This window comes from Homo sapiens, chromosome 13 (assembly GCF_000001405.40).
Source record: "Homo sapiens chromosome 13, GRCh38.p14 Primary Assembly".
Taxonomy (NCBI): Eukaryota; Metazoa; Chordata; class Mammalia; order Primates; family Hominidae; genus Homo; species Homo sapiens.
Window position 1 is genome coordinate 97,974,789 of NC_000013.11, and position 15,622 is coordinate 97,990,410.

At 41.3% G+C, this 15,622-nt stretch overlaps 1 protein-coding gene and 1 pseudogene across 12 annotated transcripts in view, besides 2 other annotated features; one reads left to right on the forward strand and one right to left on the reverse strand.

The window, feature by feature from the left end:
• The window catches only part of IPO5 (importin 5), a 70,622-nt gene that overhangs the window by 21,114 nt on the left and 33,886 nt on the right, over positions 1–15,622 (forward strand). For 10 of the 12 annotated variants that reach the window (XM_024449346.2, XM_011521089.3, XM_047430298.1 and 7 more), the window contains 5 exons: positions 1,905–1,998; positions 7,715–7,795; positions 10,633–10,825; positions 14,274–14,376; positions 15,338–15,434. In XM_024449346.2, the coding sequence (XP_024305114.1) occupies positions 1,905–1,998; positions 7,715–7,795; positions 10,633–10,825; positions 14,274–14,376; positions 15,338–15,434 (568 nt within the window). Of the gene's footprint in view, positions 1–1,102; positions 1,210–1,886; positions 1,999–7,714; positions 7,796–10,632; positions 10,826–14,273; positions 14,377–15,337; positions 15,435–15,622 lie in introns of those variants that run through there. The other 2 variants (XM_047430299.1, XM_047430300.1) reach the window with 2 other exon arrangements.
• Positions 1,150–1,879: a silencer, noted in NCBI's record as "silent region_5453". NCBI's record gives its function as "represses an Ori minimal core promoter by ATAC-STARR-seq in GM12878 lymphoblastoid cells {active_cell/tissue: GM12878}" and the evidence as "EXISTENCE:reporter gene assay evidence [ECO:0000049][PMID:35858748]".
• Positions 2,060–2,409: a silencer, noted in NCBI's record as "silent region_5454". NCBI's record gives its function as "represses an Ori minimal core promoter by ATAC-STARR-seq in GM12878 lymphoblastoid cells {active_cell/tissue: GM12878}" and the evidence as "EXISTENCE:reporter gene assay evidence [ECO:0000049][PMID:35858748]".
• On the reverse strand, positions 12,161–12,437 carry FTLP8 (ferritin light chain pseudogene 8; annotated as a pseudogene).

Sequence of the window (15,622 nt, forward strand, 5' to 3'; positions counted from 1 at the left end):
ACATCTAAGAAATATAAATTCAACAAAGATAGGTCTGCAGACCTCCTGTAGAGAACCCATCATTGTCATGGCCCAAAACTTTCTAAGAGAATTTTCTCTAGGAACCAATTAGAATCCTTTAGAAAAAAATCTTGGCTGGCCATCCCAATTGCACGTGGATCCCAGGGCTCAGCCCAGATTCTAAACACAGTGGCCAAGATTTAAAATCATTCACCAAAGAGCAAATGTTTTGACTTTCAAAGAGCAGAACTGCAGCAGAATAGCCAACAGGAAATTAAATTCCCTAAGTTAAATACTATGTACTGCCAGCGGTGTAGAACTACTCTTCCATCTCACCCAGTATGAAACCTCCTCACTAGAGATGTAGTGTCCCTTTGGGGCAGAAATGAATTGTTTTTGTAGCTGGGCGCAGTGGCTCATGCCTGTAATCCTAGCACTTTGGGAGGCCGAGGCGGGGGGAGGGCGGGGGGGGCTGGTATCGCCTGAGGTCAGGAGTTCGAGACCAACTGGGCCAACTTGGTGAAACCCCGTTTCTACTAAAAATACAAAAAAGTTAGCTGGGCATGGTGGAACATGCCTGTAATCCCAGGTATTTGGGAGGCTGAGGCATGAGAATTGTTTGAACCCGGGAGGCAGAGGTTGCACTAAACCGAGATCGCGCCACTGCACTCCAGCCTAGGCGACAGAGCAAGGCTTCCACTGACACCCTTAGCCCAATGTATTGGATACAACAGGGTCTCAACAAAAGTACCCTCTGATTTGTACACTGCTCTCTGCCTTTGGCAGCCCCAGGAGTTAAAGAACATCGCGTGTATTATCTGCGCATTAGAATGCTGAAATTGAAATTACGCCTCTAGGTTCCTAGACTGAGATTGAGATAATCAGCCCTGTAAACCAGGGCTCCTTTAGGAAGAAAGGTGTCTCTCTTGACGTTCCCCAATCATTGCGAGAACAGAATCCCTAAACAAGGGATTCAAGGGAACAGTCACAGATCCTGGGGTGGGGGCATGTTTGCTACGTGTACATCCGAAGACGACCGCGGGCTGGGGACGGGCGGCCTGGCGGGACAGCCCCGGGCTGAGTAACCCCTCTTCCGGGCAAGCCCCAGGCGTGAGTCACTGGAGAGCGCGACGGGAGGAAGGGGCGCCCTGAGTCCACAGCCCTGGGGGAGGTCGGAGGGTCTGAAAGCGAGAAGTCCGTGAGTAGAAGGTACGTAGGAAGTGGGTCTAAAGGGACTGCCTTCCTGGGGGTGGGTGAAGGGCTGGATCCCAGGGAGCGAGGGACCAAAGGGGTGGGGCCTGCTCCAGCGGCCACGGGGAGGGGCCGGGGGTCGCTAGAAGGAGGCCGACCAGCCCGCGGCGCCGAAATCTCCCGCGCTCAGCAGCTGGCCCCTCCTCCCCGGCCAGGCCTCAGGCCCCTTGCCGCGGCCGGGCCCGCCGGCCGGCTCCTCCCGCTGTCCCCGCGACGCAGCCCTGGCCCCAGCCCAGGCCTCGACCTCGACCTCAACCCCGACCCCGACCCCGATCCCAGCCCTGGCCCGGCTGCGAAGCCGCCAGCCTACCCAACCGGCGTACAGCCGGCGGCCCCCGATGCGCGGCCACTGACGGCACCGCAGGGTGCGTGGCCAATCAGCGCGGCCCCCGAGGAGGCGTCCTCGGCCCCGCCCCCCTGCGCCCAAGGCCAGTGAGGCGCCGGCGCCGGCGGCCGCGGCGGGGTGAGAGGCCGCGAGGCCCCGCCCCGTCCTCCCCTTTCCCCTTTGCCCCGCCCTTCCCGCGCGGCCCCCCGCAAGCCCCGCGCCGCCGCTGGTGCCGGTCCCCGCGCTGGGCCCGCCCCCGCCCCTCCCGCGGCCCGCGAGCGCGCCTCACGGCTCCTGTCTCCCCTCCCTCCTTCTCTCTCACGCCTAGCGCAATGGCGGCGGCCGCGGCGGAGCAGCAACAGTTCTACCTGCTCCTGGGAAACCTGCTCAGCCCCGACAATGTGGTCCGGAAACAGGCAGAGGTAACCGAGTTCGCCGCCCCAGTCTTCGCGCCCTGGCCGGCGCGCCGACCCTTTACCGACGCCAGCCGCACCGGGCCTCGGCCGGTCCGCGGCGGCCGCGCAGGCTGGGCCCGGCGGGCGGCGGCCGCGCAGCCCACGTGTGAGGCGGCCCGCGGCTCCCGGTCGTGCCCCCGGGCTTTTCCGGCCATTGCTGCCGCGGCGCCTGGCACCAGTTACCTCCCCGCCGCCGCTCGCACCCACGTGCGGCCGCTCCCGACGCGCCCCCGTCCAGGTGTGGGGTGCCGGGCGGGCCCGGGGCCCCAACTTCGCTGGCCACCCCGCTTCCCAGCTCCCCGCTTGCCCCTTTCCCGCTTTCTCCCAGTGGGAGCCCCCACTGCCCTTCCAGCCGCTGTCTCCACCCAGCCTAGCGCTGTGGGTCTCCCAAACCCTGGCTGCTACCTGACCCGTCACGCCTGCTTCTACCCCTGCTCATCTCCCACACCGTCTGTCCCTCTCTTTTTAAATATGTGCCCTGCCTTGTCCCTACTGCCTTTTTCCATTTAGTTCTTTCTCATTCTAGTTCCTAACATCAGAAGCCAGATTTCCCTACCCCCTCCCACCTCCAGTTTTGTGAAGTTGCCTTTAGGGTTTCTTTCTATGCAGTTTCCACCTTACTCTGGGCTTATAATACACTTACTCTGCTCTTCAGACAAATTTTCTTTGCTCTCTAGAGAATCGTGGGATAAATGGGATGTAGTGGGACTTCCGTTGTTTAACTGGGCCAGTACCATATGTTTAAGTCTTCAACTTCATTAAATCTAACCGTAATCTCTTTTTTTCAAACCACCTCTTGTTCCTGGCCTCCAAAATGTGGAGAGACTTTCAAGTGACAGTATTTTAAATATATCTGTAAGCTCATTTACCAAGTTCACTAGAAGACTGATGTTACATTTTCAGCGTTGAGACCACGATTCTTGTGGGATACTTCCAGGGGAGGGAGAAACTTTCCAGTTTCTTAGCTGACCGCCAAACTTGGTTATATATGGGGTTTTTGCAACCATGCGATTGTAGAGTTTCATAAGATTAAGTGAAGGATGTTCAGCCAGATATTTTTAAATAACAAAAATTAATTTTACATATAGCCAATGAAATTGACTGCAAGTCCTCTTCTGAACTCAGGCCTGAAGACTTTTCCAGGTGTCTTTGAAACGACGGTGGTAATCGTTGTTTTGAATAGATGGTGGATATGCTGGTTACACTTAGGGGTTTTATATTAAGTGAAGTAAACACACCCAAAATTCGGTTCTATGTGAAAAAGCATTTTCTACTATTCACTTCATTAAGTTTTTATTTATTATACATGTAATACATGTTCAGGGTAAAAATTCAAACAGTGAATCGTTTCTTATCCCGTTTCCCAAAGGTGACCGCTTGTGTCGTGAATCTTCGCTGAAAATTTAACATACACATTCATTTTTTACTTAATGGGCTTATAATACTATTTACACTATTTTGCAACTTGAATTTTTCACTCTATATTTCACATTGCCTCATAAGTGAGGTTTTGGTCAGCTATAGATTATACATCATATGGATAGATATTTATATAAGCAACCCTCTATGAAATGGATATTGCGGTTTCCAGTGACCTGCTCTTTTAAAAATAGTACTATGCGCAGGAGTACATGTATACCTATCTTTGCATACTTTGCCAGGTTTGCTTGTAGAATACTGAAAAGTAGCATTTGTTCCTAGAAGTGATATGCATGTATTGCACCAGTTTGCCTTGGGGATATGATGATGCTTTAAAAAAAAAAATTAATGCTTTCTGGTAACTCTTGAGATAATTTTTCGCCAAAATAACTTTTTAATCCCAGCATGAAAATAATAGAAATTTTCATGTGTTACAAAGCAGAACAGCATTGTAATTAGTAAGCTAGTTTAATTCTCTCTGTTCCCTCCAGTTGCTTAAGTCTCTATTGTCAAGCCTAGTGGGGAATCTCTCTTCTATTGAACTAAATACCAGTGTCTGGTTTAGCTTGAATTCCAATTGGTGCCTGTTGTAAATCTTTTATCACTTACATCACTTTGGGGATAGTTATCAGCATTCAGCACATTTTCTCATAAAGAACAATTGGAAATAAGTACTGTTATTCTCTTAGTCTCTTTATTCCTAGTGAAAACATTCAGATACTAGGTTTTTACTTTCTTTGTATATCCTGAGAATGTATTAATATGTAAACTAAGTACTGTGATACAGAATTTTCTAATTTGACCTCCAAAAAAGTAAATGTTAAGAGAAGCTCTCTGGTGCCATAGAATGCCCCTTTCTTTTTTGCCTAATGAAATAAGCGTTTTATAAGAGATCAAATGAAATAAAATTAGCATTAAGTCTGATACAGCAAATATAGAAATATTTTCTATGAACTGAAAAATTGGCCAGGGCTCAGTAAATATCTTTGTAATTTACTCATTCAAAATAAAAATACTTAGTCGACACATAAATACCAAACTGTTGACTAAGGTGACTTTTGTATTCAAATATGGTTATATATTTGGTTGAAATCATTGAAGAGACGTCAAAACTCTAAAAAGTTAAAACTTTTTTCGTCGTATATGCCATTTAGTAGGCTTTATAGTTTATTTCTATTTTTAAAAATCTGTAAGGATATTTCTCTTTAACTTTATAGAAAATGTTTCTCATTTGAAGAAACGTATGTGAATGTCCCTGAGTCTCAGAATACAATAACGTGAATAAACCATTGAATAAATAGTTGACAAGTAGTGCAAAGTACAGTATTCATGGTATTTATCACTAGACATTTTTATATGACATAAGCTTAAGTATTTATTAATCATATGCATGGATTTTATTTTCTTACTAAGGTTCTCCATACAGAATTTGTTCCTCATTGACTCTAATAGAGAATTTCATTGAGTGTTTTTTGTAGAGACAGGGTCTTGCTGTGTTGCCCAGGCTGGTCTTGAACTCCTGGCCTCAAGTGATCCTCCCATCTCCCAAAGTGTTGGAATTACAGGCATGAGCCACCACACCCAGCCCATTGTTGAGATTTCAATAGACAGAGGATAACATTGAAAAATATACCTGATTGTTGAGGAACCAGGGTGTTAATAGATAAAAGTCATGTGTCCCCTCTTTTACTTTTCCTCATACAAGGTAGGCTCACTATAAATATTTATGGAATGAGATGAGTACATATGAGCATTTCTTCTTCGTGGGCAGGGAAGAGGCGGAGGAGAAGTCTTTGCATTGTGTAAATTGTATAAGGTGGAATCAAATCAAATTGAAATTTTGTTTGCCACAACTGATAACATTCACTGAACCTAACTGGACTAGTGCTAGGAATAGTATTAGAAACAGTCTTTATAATTCTTATACACTAATATGCTACGTACTTAGATACAAAGATAAAAAGTTACCATCCCTGTCTGTGTGGAACTTAGACTGTTTAACCATTATCCTTGACCATTGTGATGGTATTGATGTAATACTATATTTGGATTACCACAGTGGAACATATCACATGGAGAGAACCCTCTCTCAACAGACATCATCTGTCACTCGTACTAAACTCTCCCACCATTGGCTTCTAATTCATTATGGAGTAGAGTTTAATATTTGGCCCAATGTTAAGTTGGGTCAATTGTTAAGTCTACTAGAGTTAGCATAGTCACACCAACAGTTCCGCCTGGGCAAGAGTAGGGAGCCTCAGGATTTATATTAGGTTTTCTGACAGTGATAGCCTAGTAGAGAAGTTTATGGCTGGGCGCGGTGGCTCATGACTGTAATCCCAGCACTTTGGGAGGCCGAGGCAGGTGGATCACGAGGTCGGGAGTTCAAGACCAGCCTGGCCAAGATGGTGAAATCCCATCTCTACTAAAAATAAAAAATTAGCCGGGCGCGGTGGCAGGCGCCTGTAATCCCAGCTACTGAGGAGGCTGAGGCAGGAGAATCTCTTGAACCTGGGCAGCAGAGGTTGCAGTGAGCCGAGATCGCACCACTGCGCTCTAGCCTGGGCGACAGAGTGAGACTCTATCTCAAAAAAAAAAAAAAAAAAGTTTTTGCAAAAACTTGATTTAGACCACTGAAAATTTAAGTGTTAAACATTGATCACATTACCAGTGTTTAAGTGGCTAAGCTGGGTGCTTTTTATTGTATAGTGAGATACTTTTTAAATGAAAACATACTACTGGTATAAGGAGTTGCTTTGGTAAATATTAAGTGAAAAGTCTCAAAGGTACATAACCATTTTTGCATTCAGCTTGTGAATATCTTTACATAAATTATCTCTTCTGGATAAATAAATTCAAACCATCTTCTCTCCTCGGCTGTGAATACTTTTTGGCACAGTTTTCAGCATTGTTAAGATCCTATGTGCTTTTTACTAGAATGGGAACTTGAGGTTATCAGAAGATCTTGAATTCTCCTTTCCCCCAAAATCTGTTCTTCCCCAGACAGATATGTTTGAAAAGTTTGAAACCTGTGTAGCACTGCATAAATAGAACTGGTTGTTTAATGAAGTGAAACAGAGCTTTCAGTACCAGAGAGATTTTGAATATGGTTGGCCTTAGAGGACCAGAGTTCTGTCTGCTATTCATTGTCTATGATCTTAGGCAAGTCATTAACTTATAAGCCTTTATTTCCTTATCTGTTAATATCTCATGGATGCCATGGGGCACTTAGTAAAAGGTTTAAGCTAGATGTGGATTCAAAATAGCCTTGTTTTTCCTCCCTTGTCACTTTGTTCCAGAGAAGCCACGTATAGAGGTATGGTAGCAATGAGAGCAGGTAAGCTCTAAAGAAATCAATGTTACCCACATTAGACTCAACTCTAAATTGCTAGATAAGAATGGATTATCTATTTACTAAGAGGCTTCTTAGAGTAAGCAATTCCAAGTGTACTTAAATTGATTTCTTTTCCACAGTGAACAAATACCATCAGAATTCTTGCATATGAATCTGCACTTCTCTGGACAGCATATAGTTGGTTCTTGTTTTTTAATCTGTTCTGATCATCTGTCTTTTAATTGGTGTCAACTTTTTATTGTTAACCAATTTGTTGTGATTTTACATTATTAGCAGAGGATAGAGTGTCCTGAGTCACAAACCTCTTGCTAATAGATCTACAAAAGACGATAAAGCCTCCTGGCCGAATTTATCCTGACCACATTCATTTATCTATGTAGTAAGGTTTTAGTATGATCCTTGCTTGGAAGAAAATGTAGCATAAAGGATTTGAATACTTTGTTTCTCTGACTTACTTCCAGGTGTGTGTCTGGTGGTTCTAAGCAGTGGTAATTTGAACCAGTTGTACATCATCCAGTCTAAAAATGTTAACGAAACAGTTTCTCATGATGTAAGGTGATTTTAAGTGAGCCCTAAAGTTTGCAGCACAATGGCTTAAGTCACATTTGGCAATTTTTTGGCCCTCTTAGGCCTTGAGTTTTGTTAACCAGGGAGCATAAGTTGGGAAAACATGCACACACATTAGAAACATTTGTTTAAGAGATATATGTAGAAAGGAACTTGATAAGTAACCCTTTGGACATCTCTTCCCTAACATATCTGAAGTGTATTTCATGTCACAGAAGGTGTTAACACCAGACCTAGATTAAATAATTTCTCATGCATCCTTCCCACTGTTTATTTCTTTCACTGGTTTACTCATGAAGTTTCCTAACATTCTTTCCTAACCATTTTTTTTTTTCCATGCAGGAAACCTATGAGAATATCCCAGGCCAGTCAAAGATCACATTCCTCTTACAAGCCATCAGAAATACAACAGCTGCTGAAGAGGTACTACCTTAATATTTGTGACTATTACATTCTTAGAAAATAAGTTATTAGATGATGATCATAGTAGAAATTAGAGAAATGAGAATTGTGATTAACCACATAGACTTTACTAGAACTTTGTACTTATTATTTGCTAAAAGCTACTTAGGAGTTATAATGTAATTTTTTGAAGTACTTTGTATTAAGAATGAGAGTTGCCTTTTTTCCGCATAAGATAATGTGTCCAGGGTAGATGAAGATTAATGGTTTTATAAGTAATTGCATAAGAATTATTAAATTAAAGTGATTTGATTTGATTGATTGATTTTGAGATGGAGTTTCACTCTGCCCAGGCTTGAGTGCACTGGCACCATCTCGGCCCACTGCAACCTCTGCCTCCTGGGTTCAAGCAGTTCTCCTGCCTCAGCTTCCCGAGTAACTGGGATTACAGGCGTGCGCCACCACACCTGGCTAATTTTTGTATTTTTAGTAGAGATGGGGTTTTGCCATGTTGGCCAGGCTGGTCTCGAACTCCTGACCTCAAGTGATCCACCCCCTTCAGCCTCCGAAAGTGCTGGGATTACAGGCATGAGCCGCCACGCCCAGCCTAATTTAAGTGCTTTTTGCAGCTAAAAGTTTTCTTTCCTTGAAACAATTTATTCTAAAGAAGTAAATTAGTTCAGTGTTTTGATGTGTTATCAATGTTTTGAAAAAATATTTTTTTCCCATCTTTAAAAATTTATGCTTATAACCATCTCTGGATGAAGTGTATGTACTAAAGATATACTTAGGAACAGAGACATTTTCTAGAATATTTTATTAGAATCATGGTTTTTAGCTAATTACCTAGTTCCTATACCAAATTCAAATTTGTTTTAATTTTAAGAATTACTTTTCCCTATGGTAAAAACAAGGCTATTTCCTAGGATTTTATAGTTTCCTACTACTGATTGAGGCATTTTGTAGCTAATTCCACCCCCCCCCCCCACCGTCCCCCCGATTATAAGTTAATATCCTCATAAATATTGAATGCCATTGAATATCTGTTTACTTTGGAAAAGGTATAAAAATACCCAAGTCTAGAAAACTATTCTACCTACAAAACATTACATTTAGAGTTTGTAGTGTAAGACTTTTTTTGCTAGCAAACTGTATATAAAATGCTTATCCTTGATGGAAATAAGTCACACTAAACTTTTACATTATGTTTCACCTGACTTCTTCCAGTCAGTCAGTTTAGACTAGCAACTTCATGTTCTCTCAACCACTTTAAAAGCCATATAAAAGTATCCCAATTTTTTTTTTTCTAGATGACAAGAGGTACTTCTTTGCTTTTGTAACCTGTTCTTTTCTGTAACTCAAAATGGATGTCAAATATGAAGAACCCTATATAGGGTAACTTCTTTTTTTTTTTTTTTTTTTTTTTTTTTTTTTGAGACGGAGTCTCGCTCTGTCGCCCAGGCTGGAGTGCAGTGGCGGGATCTCGGCTCACTGCAAGCTCCGCCTCCCGGGTTCACGCCATTCTCCTGCCTCAGCCTCCCAAGTAGCTGGGACTACAGGCGCCCGCCACTACGCCCGGCTAATTTTTTGTATTTTTAGTAGAGACGGGGTTTCACCGTTTTAGCCGGGATGGTCTCGATCTCCTGACCTCGTGATCCGCCCGCCTCGGCCTCCCAAAGTGCTGGGATTACAGGCGTGAGCCACCGCGCCCGGCCTAGGGTAACTTCTATCACTAAAAACAGATGACTGTTTTAATTCTTGAAGATTAGTGCAAGTTAGTAAACAAATTTTAAAGCCAAGAATACTGAATTTTTTTAATAACTTGTATTAAGCCTTATTTAAATCTTAACTAGATTTAAGAATTAGATGATTGTTGTGAATTAGTGACAGCATCTTGATTGTGGCTTTATAGTTTTTGGTATATGTGTGAGAAGAATTGCACATGAGTTTTAACCACTTTTATAAGAATTGTAACCATTTTGAATTCTTTCTAGAACATGTTAAATATTTGTAAAGGTTTCTACCTACCATAAATGTTTCAGTAAAAAGATTTCTCGGTGAAAAGTAATGGAGGAAAAAAATAGCCAATTTTATTTGTATAGCTTAACATTTTTTTTGGTCAAATTCCCAAAGTAATTATAGTGATAATGAGTAACATCAGCTTGGGGAAATCGAGAGCAGGAAAGATTAGGTTCAATATTCCCAATAGCTTATTGGCTTGATTTGATAAAATTTTAGAATGGCATTTGTCTTAGCTTTTCTTTTGATAATCTCAAGAAATGTTATACAGAAAATGCCAAACTTAATTACACAGATTTGAAAATGAAAATCCAAGAATACACATGTTGAGATGGATTAGCACTTTTTAGGTATCGGGAACTCGTAATGTTTGTTTGCATGAAAGAAGCATTTTATCTAAGATGCTAATGAAAGGGCGGTTATGTAACAAGTTAGGTCAGGCTGGGAGCCTAAGGTTGGGTGGGAAAGGCGCTTGATATTCTAGAATGAGACCAGACAGAGAGGTAGGAAAAGAGCATTCATTATAGGGTTTACAATTTAAGATTTGTTTTTCTCCCAAATAATGTGTTAAAAACAGGGATTAAAGACAGGTTTATCATTGCTAAAATATGTGTTCCTAATTGAATTGTAATGTGATTAGAAGTTCTCCTCACCTTAAGTACAAATGGCTTATTTTGTGGCACTAACAAAATAAGTCTGTATAATAGACTAATGTAATTAGAAAGAGTTATATATTTACTTCTTTAGAAAATTAGGCGCTTTTGAAATATAAAAATACAACAGTGAAATACATCAATGGCAGAGTGAATCTAGTTATTAACAATGTTATCTGTTTATAGGCTAGACAAATGGCCGCCGTTCTCCTAAGACGTCTCTTGTCCTCTGCATTTGATGAAGTCTATCCAGCACTTCCCTCTGATGTTCAGACTGCCATCAAGAGTGAGCTACTCATGATTATTCAGATGGAAACACAATCTAGCATGAGGAAAAAAGTTTGTGATATTGCGGCAGAACTGGCCAGGAATTTAATAGGTGTGTATGCAGGTGCACTCATGTTACCAAGAACATGGGTATATCCTTCCTTTTTTTTTTTTTTAATGGAATCTTTTAGAGTAAGATTCATAAGTACCTGAGTACCATTTATTCTGTTTAAAATGAATGTGCTTATGGATTTTGCATTTAGAGCCAGAAATTACAGATAGATGTTTGTGAAATCCAGTCATAGGACTCACCTATTGGTATTCAAAATACCCATGTGAGGCTAGGCACAGTGGCTCACACCTGTAATCTCAGCACTTTAGGAGGCCGAGGTGGGCACATCGCTTGAGTCTAGCAGTTCAGGACGAACCTGGGCAACATGGCAAAACCCCGTTTCTACAAAAAATTAGTGGGCGTGATGGTGTGCACCTGTAGTCCCAGTTACTTGGGAGGCTGAAATGGGAGAATCACCTGAGCCCCAGAAGCTGGAGACTACAGTAAGCGGTGATCACGCTACTGCACTCCAGCCTGGGCAACAAAGCAAGACTATGTCTCAAAAAAAGGAAAAAAAAAATCCATGTGGAAAAATAATTTTGTAATTTGCTTGAAAATTGGCAGTTACATTTTCTCCTAAATCTATAATGTTTTAGAAGCACAGGCTAATTAATGGTATGACCTACTTTGTACATTAAACTTGCCAGTTGAACTAAAAATCAGAGACTCCAGTGCTTTTGCTGTTGTATATGTGTGGTGACAAATATATACATATACTGTTACGTAGCTATACTATGTATATATATATTTTTTTTTTTTGAGACGGAGTTTCGCTCTTATTGCCTAGGCTGGAGTGCAGTGGTGCAATCTTGGCTCACCGCAACCTCCGCCTCCCAGGTTCAAGTGATTTTCCTGCCTCAGCCTACCAAGTATCTGGAATTACAGGCATGCGCCACCACACCCAGCTAATTTTTTTTGTATTTTTAGGGTTTCTCCATGTTGGTCAGGCTGGTCTGGAACTCCTGGCCTCAGGTGATCTGCCCATCTCGGCCTCCCAAAGTGATGGGATTACAGGCATGAGCCACTGCGCCTGGCCTACTATGTACATTTTTAATGCCCAAAAAATATTTTTTTAAGTGAGGTAAAAGGCAAACATCATAAAAAAATGCATTTTACTAAAGGTAAAAATCCTTTTTAGTCAACTAAAAATAATAGTAATGTAATTGAACATGCTACTTTTTTATCTTGCTGCAAAAAGCTTTATTTCCATTTGGTCTAGTGCCTGGGAGAGGGCTCCAGCTTGGTTAAAAAGCTACCTAATGGCTGGAGGGAGAGGGTCAGGCAGAAGCTCTGATACATTGAGGGGGACCCTCAGAGGTCACTGGGCTTTTAGTGTTGTTTGATGATGAGCCTTTTGAAGAGACACTTGCCCAGCTCAACATAGGAGCCAACTAGCCTGCGGAGGTTGGTCACGTGGTCACCCATCTTAATGAGTTTCACTTCCTCATCTAGGAAGTGGCTCTCCAAGAAGTCACAGAGATGGGGATCTGTGCAGGCAGAACCCAGGGCATGAAGATCCAACAGGGCCTGGTTCCTGGTACAAGTTCTTCTCCAGGGCCATGACAGCTTCCATGGTGTCTTGGGTTTTGTCCCACTCATCTTCATACTTCCTGCTCGTAGAAGAGAGTGTAGCCACCACTTTTTTTTTTTTTTTAGACAGGGATTTATAAGTGTGGTTGTAAGCGCAGCTTGTTTAGATGGCATTTTTAATAGTTGAAATGAAGATCAAGGTTACATGGGAGATTACTATTGATTGAGCTTACTACATTATGACACTAATTTTAAAATCTCATCAACCAGTAATACAGTAAGTCCTTGTTCAATTCAGCTAGCAGATTGTATCCTTTCTTATGTCAACCATTTCTTAGAAACTAATGGGGAATGTGTCAATTCTTTATATTTTAGATGAGTTCAAATTAATTTTTTTAGACAGTTTTGTTCTGTTGCCCAGGCTTGAGTACAGTGGTGTGATCATGGCTTACCGCAGCCTCCACCTCCCAAGTTTAGGTGATTCTCCTGCCTCAGCCTCCCACACGCCCAGCTAATTTTTGTATTTTTTTAGTAGAGATGGAGCCAACTGGGTTTCACCCTGTTTGCCAGCCTGGTCTCAAATGCCTGACCTCAAATGGTCTGCCCACCTTGGCCTCCCAAAGTGCTGAGATTAGAGGCATGAGCCACAGCGCCCAGCCCTAATTTTGAATATTTTTAAATTGTTTAGAAAATTCTACTTTCCAGTTTTAAGTATGCAGATAGGAATTGTTATAGGTGACATCATTTCTCATTCAGAAACACTTAACAATGCAAACCTTTCCAAAGTATTCAAAGTGCTCTCATAGATTTTTTTTTTTTAAGCTGCTATTTTATTTCCCCTCAAAGCATCATCTTTAGGTTGAAGAAACATTTAATGTCAGCTTAGCAGCACAATTGTCATTTCACAAAAGTTCAAATATCGGGGGACGTTTAAAAAGAAAACATCTGTAATTCATCTGTAAGTTGTATAACTCTTAAGGTCTTTGTGACAATATAACCAGAGTCTTATAAGTGGCACAGTAGATTTTTGTGGTCACTCATTTTTATTATAAAGTATTATTTAAAATCTCTTAATCTTGTTAAATAGTAAACATATTAATAACATCCTCTGGCACTATTTGAACCAAACTGCAAAGTGTGAGCACCCTGTATGGGTCCTGAGATTCTAACCCTGATGTCTTCTCAAGTTCCAAAGTAGTTGTTACTTTGGTTTCAAGACCTTGCCACCAAATACTAGCTTTGCCTACTTTTTCAACTCTTTAATAGCAATGGTATATATAAAGGAGTCAGTCAATCAGATATTTGTACAGTTAAAAGTGCTGCCTTCTCTTCAAATTCCACTCCTTAGAAATAACCTCTGCCAGCCAGGTGCGGTGGCTCACGCCTGTAATCCTAGTACTTTGGAAGGCCAAGGCAAGTGGATCACCCAAGGTCAGGAGTTTGAGACCAGCCTGGCCATCATGGCCAAACCTCGTCTCTACTAAAAATACAAAAATTAGTCAGGCATGGTGGCAGGCGCCTGTAATCCCAGCTACTCGGGAGGCTGAGGCAGGAGAATTGCTTGAACCCTGGAGGCAGAGGTTGCAGTCAACCGAGATCGCGCCATTGCACTCCAGCCTGGGTAAAAAAGTGAAACTCCATCTAAAAAAAAGAAGAACCTCTGTTAATATCTGATTATCTAACCCAAATACAGAGTTGTTTGGTTTGTTGGTTTGTTTGGTCTTTTTTTTTTTTTAACATGATTGTGATGCCATTTTTATGGCTAAAGGACAGAATTTTGTGGAGTTTTTAAAAATAGCAAAAGTGACATTTTTCACTACTCCAGGTTTGAATGAGGCTTATGAAATGAAAGGATTTACTCCTAGTATATTGAAGTTCTGACTTACACAACTTTATGTCTGGATTTCTTTACTTTCAGATGAGGATGGCAATAACCAGTGGCCCGAAGGTTTGAAGTTCCTTTTTGATTCAGTCAGCTCTCAAAATGTGGGACTGCGGGAAGCTGCCCTTCACATTTTCTGGTATATACATTAATCTAGTTTTTTGAGACATTTGATTTAATGAATGCCCTAAACACCTTTTAACTGATTATTTTAGCCTAATTTAACCTTATACTTAAAATGATAATAATGCCTTTACATAAGTTTTGTTTGTATTTGTATTGGAAGCAATTTTTTTTAAAAGGGCCTTTTATTTCACATTATGATCTTTTTTGTACACAAAGGTTCTCTACAGCTTGCTTGCTTTCTCTTTGTCTTTTATGATTCTGAAAGTTTTATTGAACAGTTTCCTCTCCTTTATTTGGAGATTAACACAATACTGGATGTAGCTTTTCAAAAGCCACATTAATAATGGTGTCTTGAAGAGGAGAAGGAGAATGCAGGTGAATCCCCATTATGTTTTCTGGGTCTTGTGTGACCCAATTTTATAATATGTTAAGAAACCTGTATATTTATAACCAAATAGTCTAAGTTTAGAATTAAGTGATTATTCTTTGCCCCACTGTGCTATATTTTTTTACTACACCTAAAATGTGCTCAAGATCATACACATTTTAGGCTTTGTATCATTTTGTACTTTAGTTGTCATATATATCTTTGTTTATATCAGTAATTCAGATTAGAGAATGCAGATGGCCGGAGAGCATAGTTCTTGTAGTTTTCATCTGAAAACCTGTGGTTGCTCTTGTCCCATCCTGCACTCCAGGTCAGCTTTCGACTGAGACAGAGTAATAAGGATAAAAGCATGTAGCTGGGAATGGGCTGCTGAGTAGCCTCTACTCCCAGCCCAGACTTCTCCAGTATGTTTTCATTCACTTAACCCAAAAACAGGATTGCTTAGAGAATGGGTAGATGATGTTCAACCTATGGATTAATGCGTACTGAGTCAGGTAAACAAACAGTTCATTAGAGATTCTAGCTCATACTTTACCAAGATATTAATATAATGTAGTTTTTAAAGAATGTTTGGATTATCTTTTAGGAACTTTCCTGGAATTTTTGGGAACCAGCAACAACACTATTTAGATGTCATCAAACGAATGTTAGTTCAGTGTATGCAAGATCAGGAACACCCGTCGGTAAATAATTTCAATCCTATTAATATAACCATCTATTTTAATCTAATTTGCGAAAGAAATTAGTATATTAGGAGGTTGTTTTCACTTTTATACTTTAAAATACAAACACCAGTTTTACTGATAAAGAATAATTTGATCTTGAGTAAGAAAACTTGAATTTGCGTTTATCAAAAATTTCTCATGTTTGA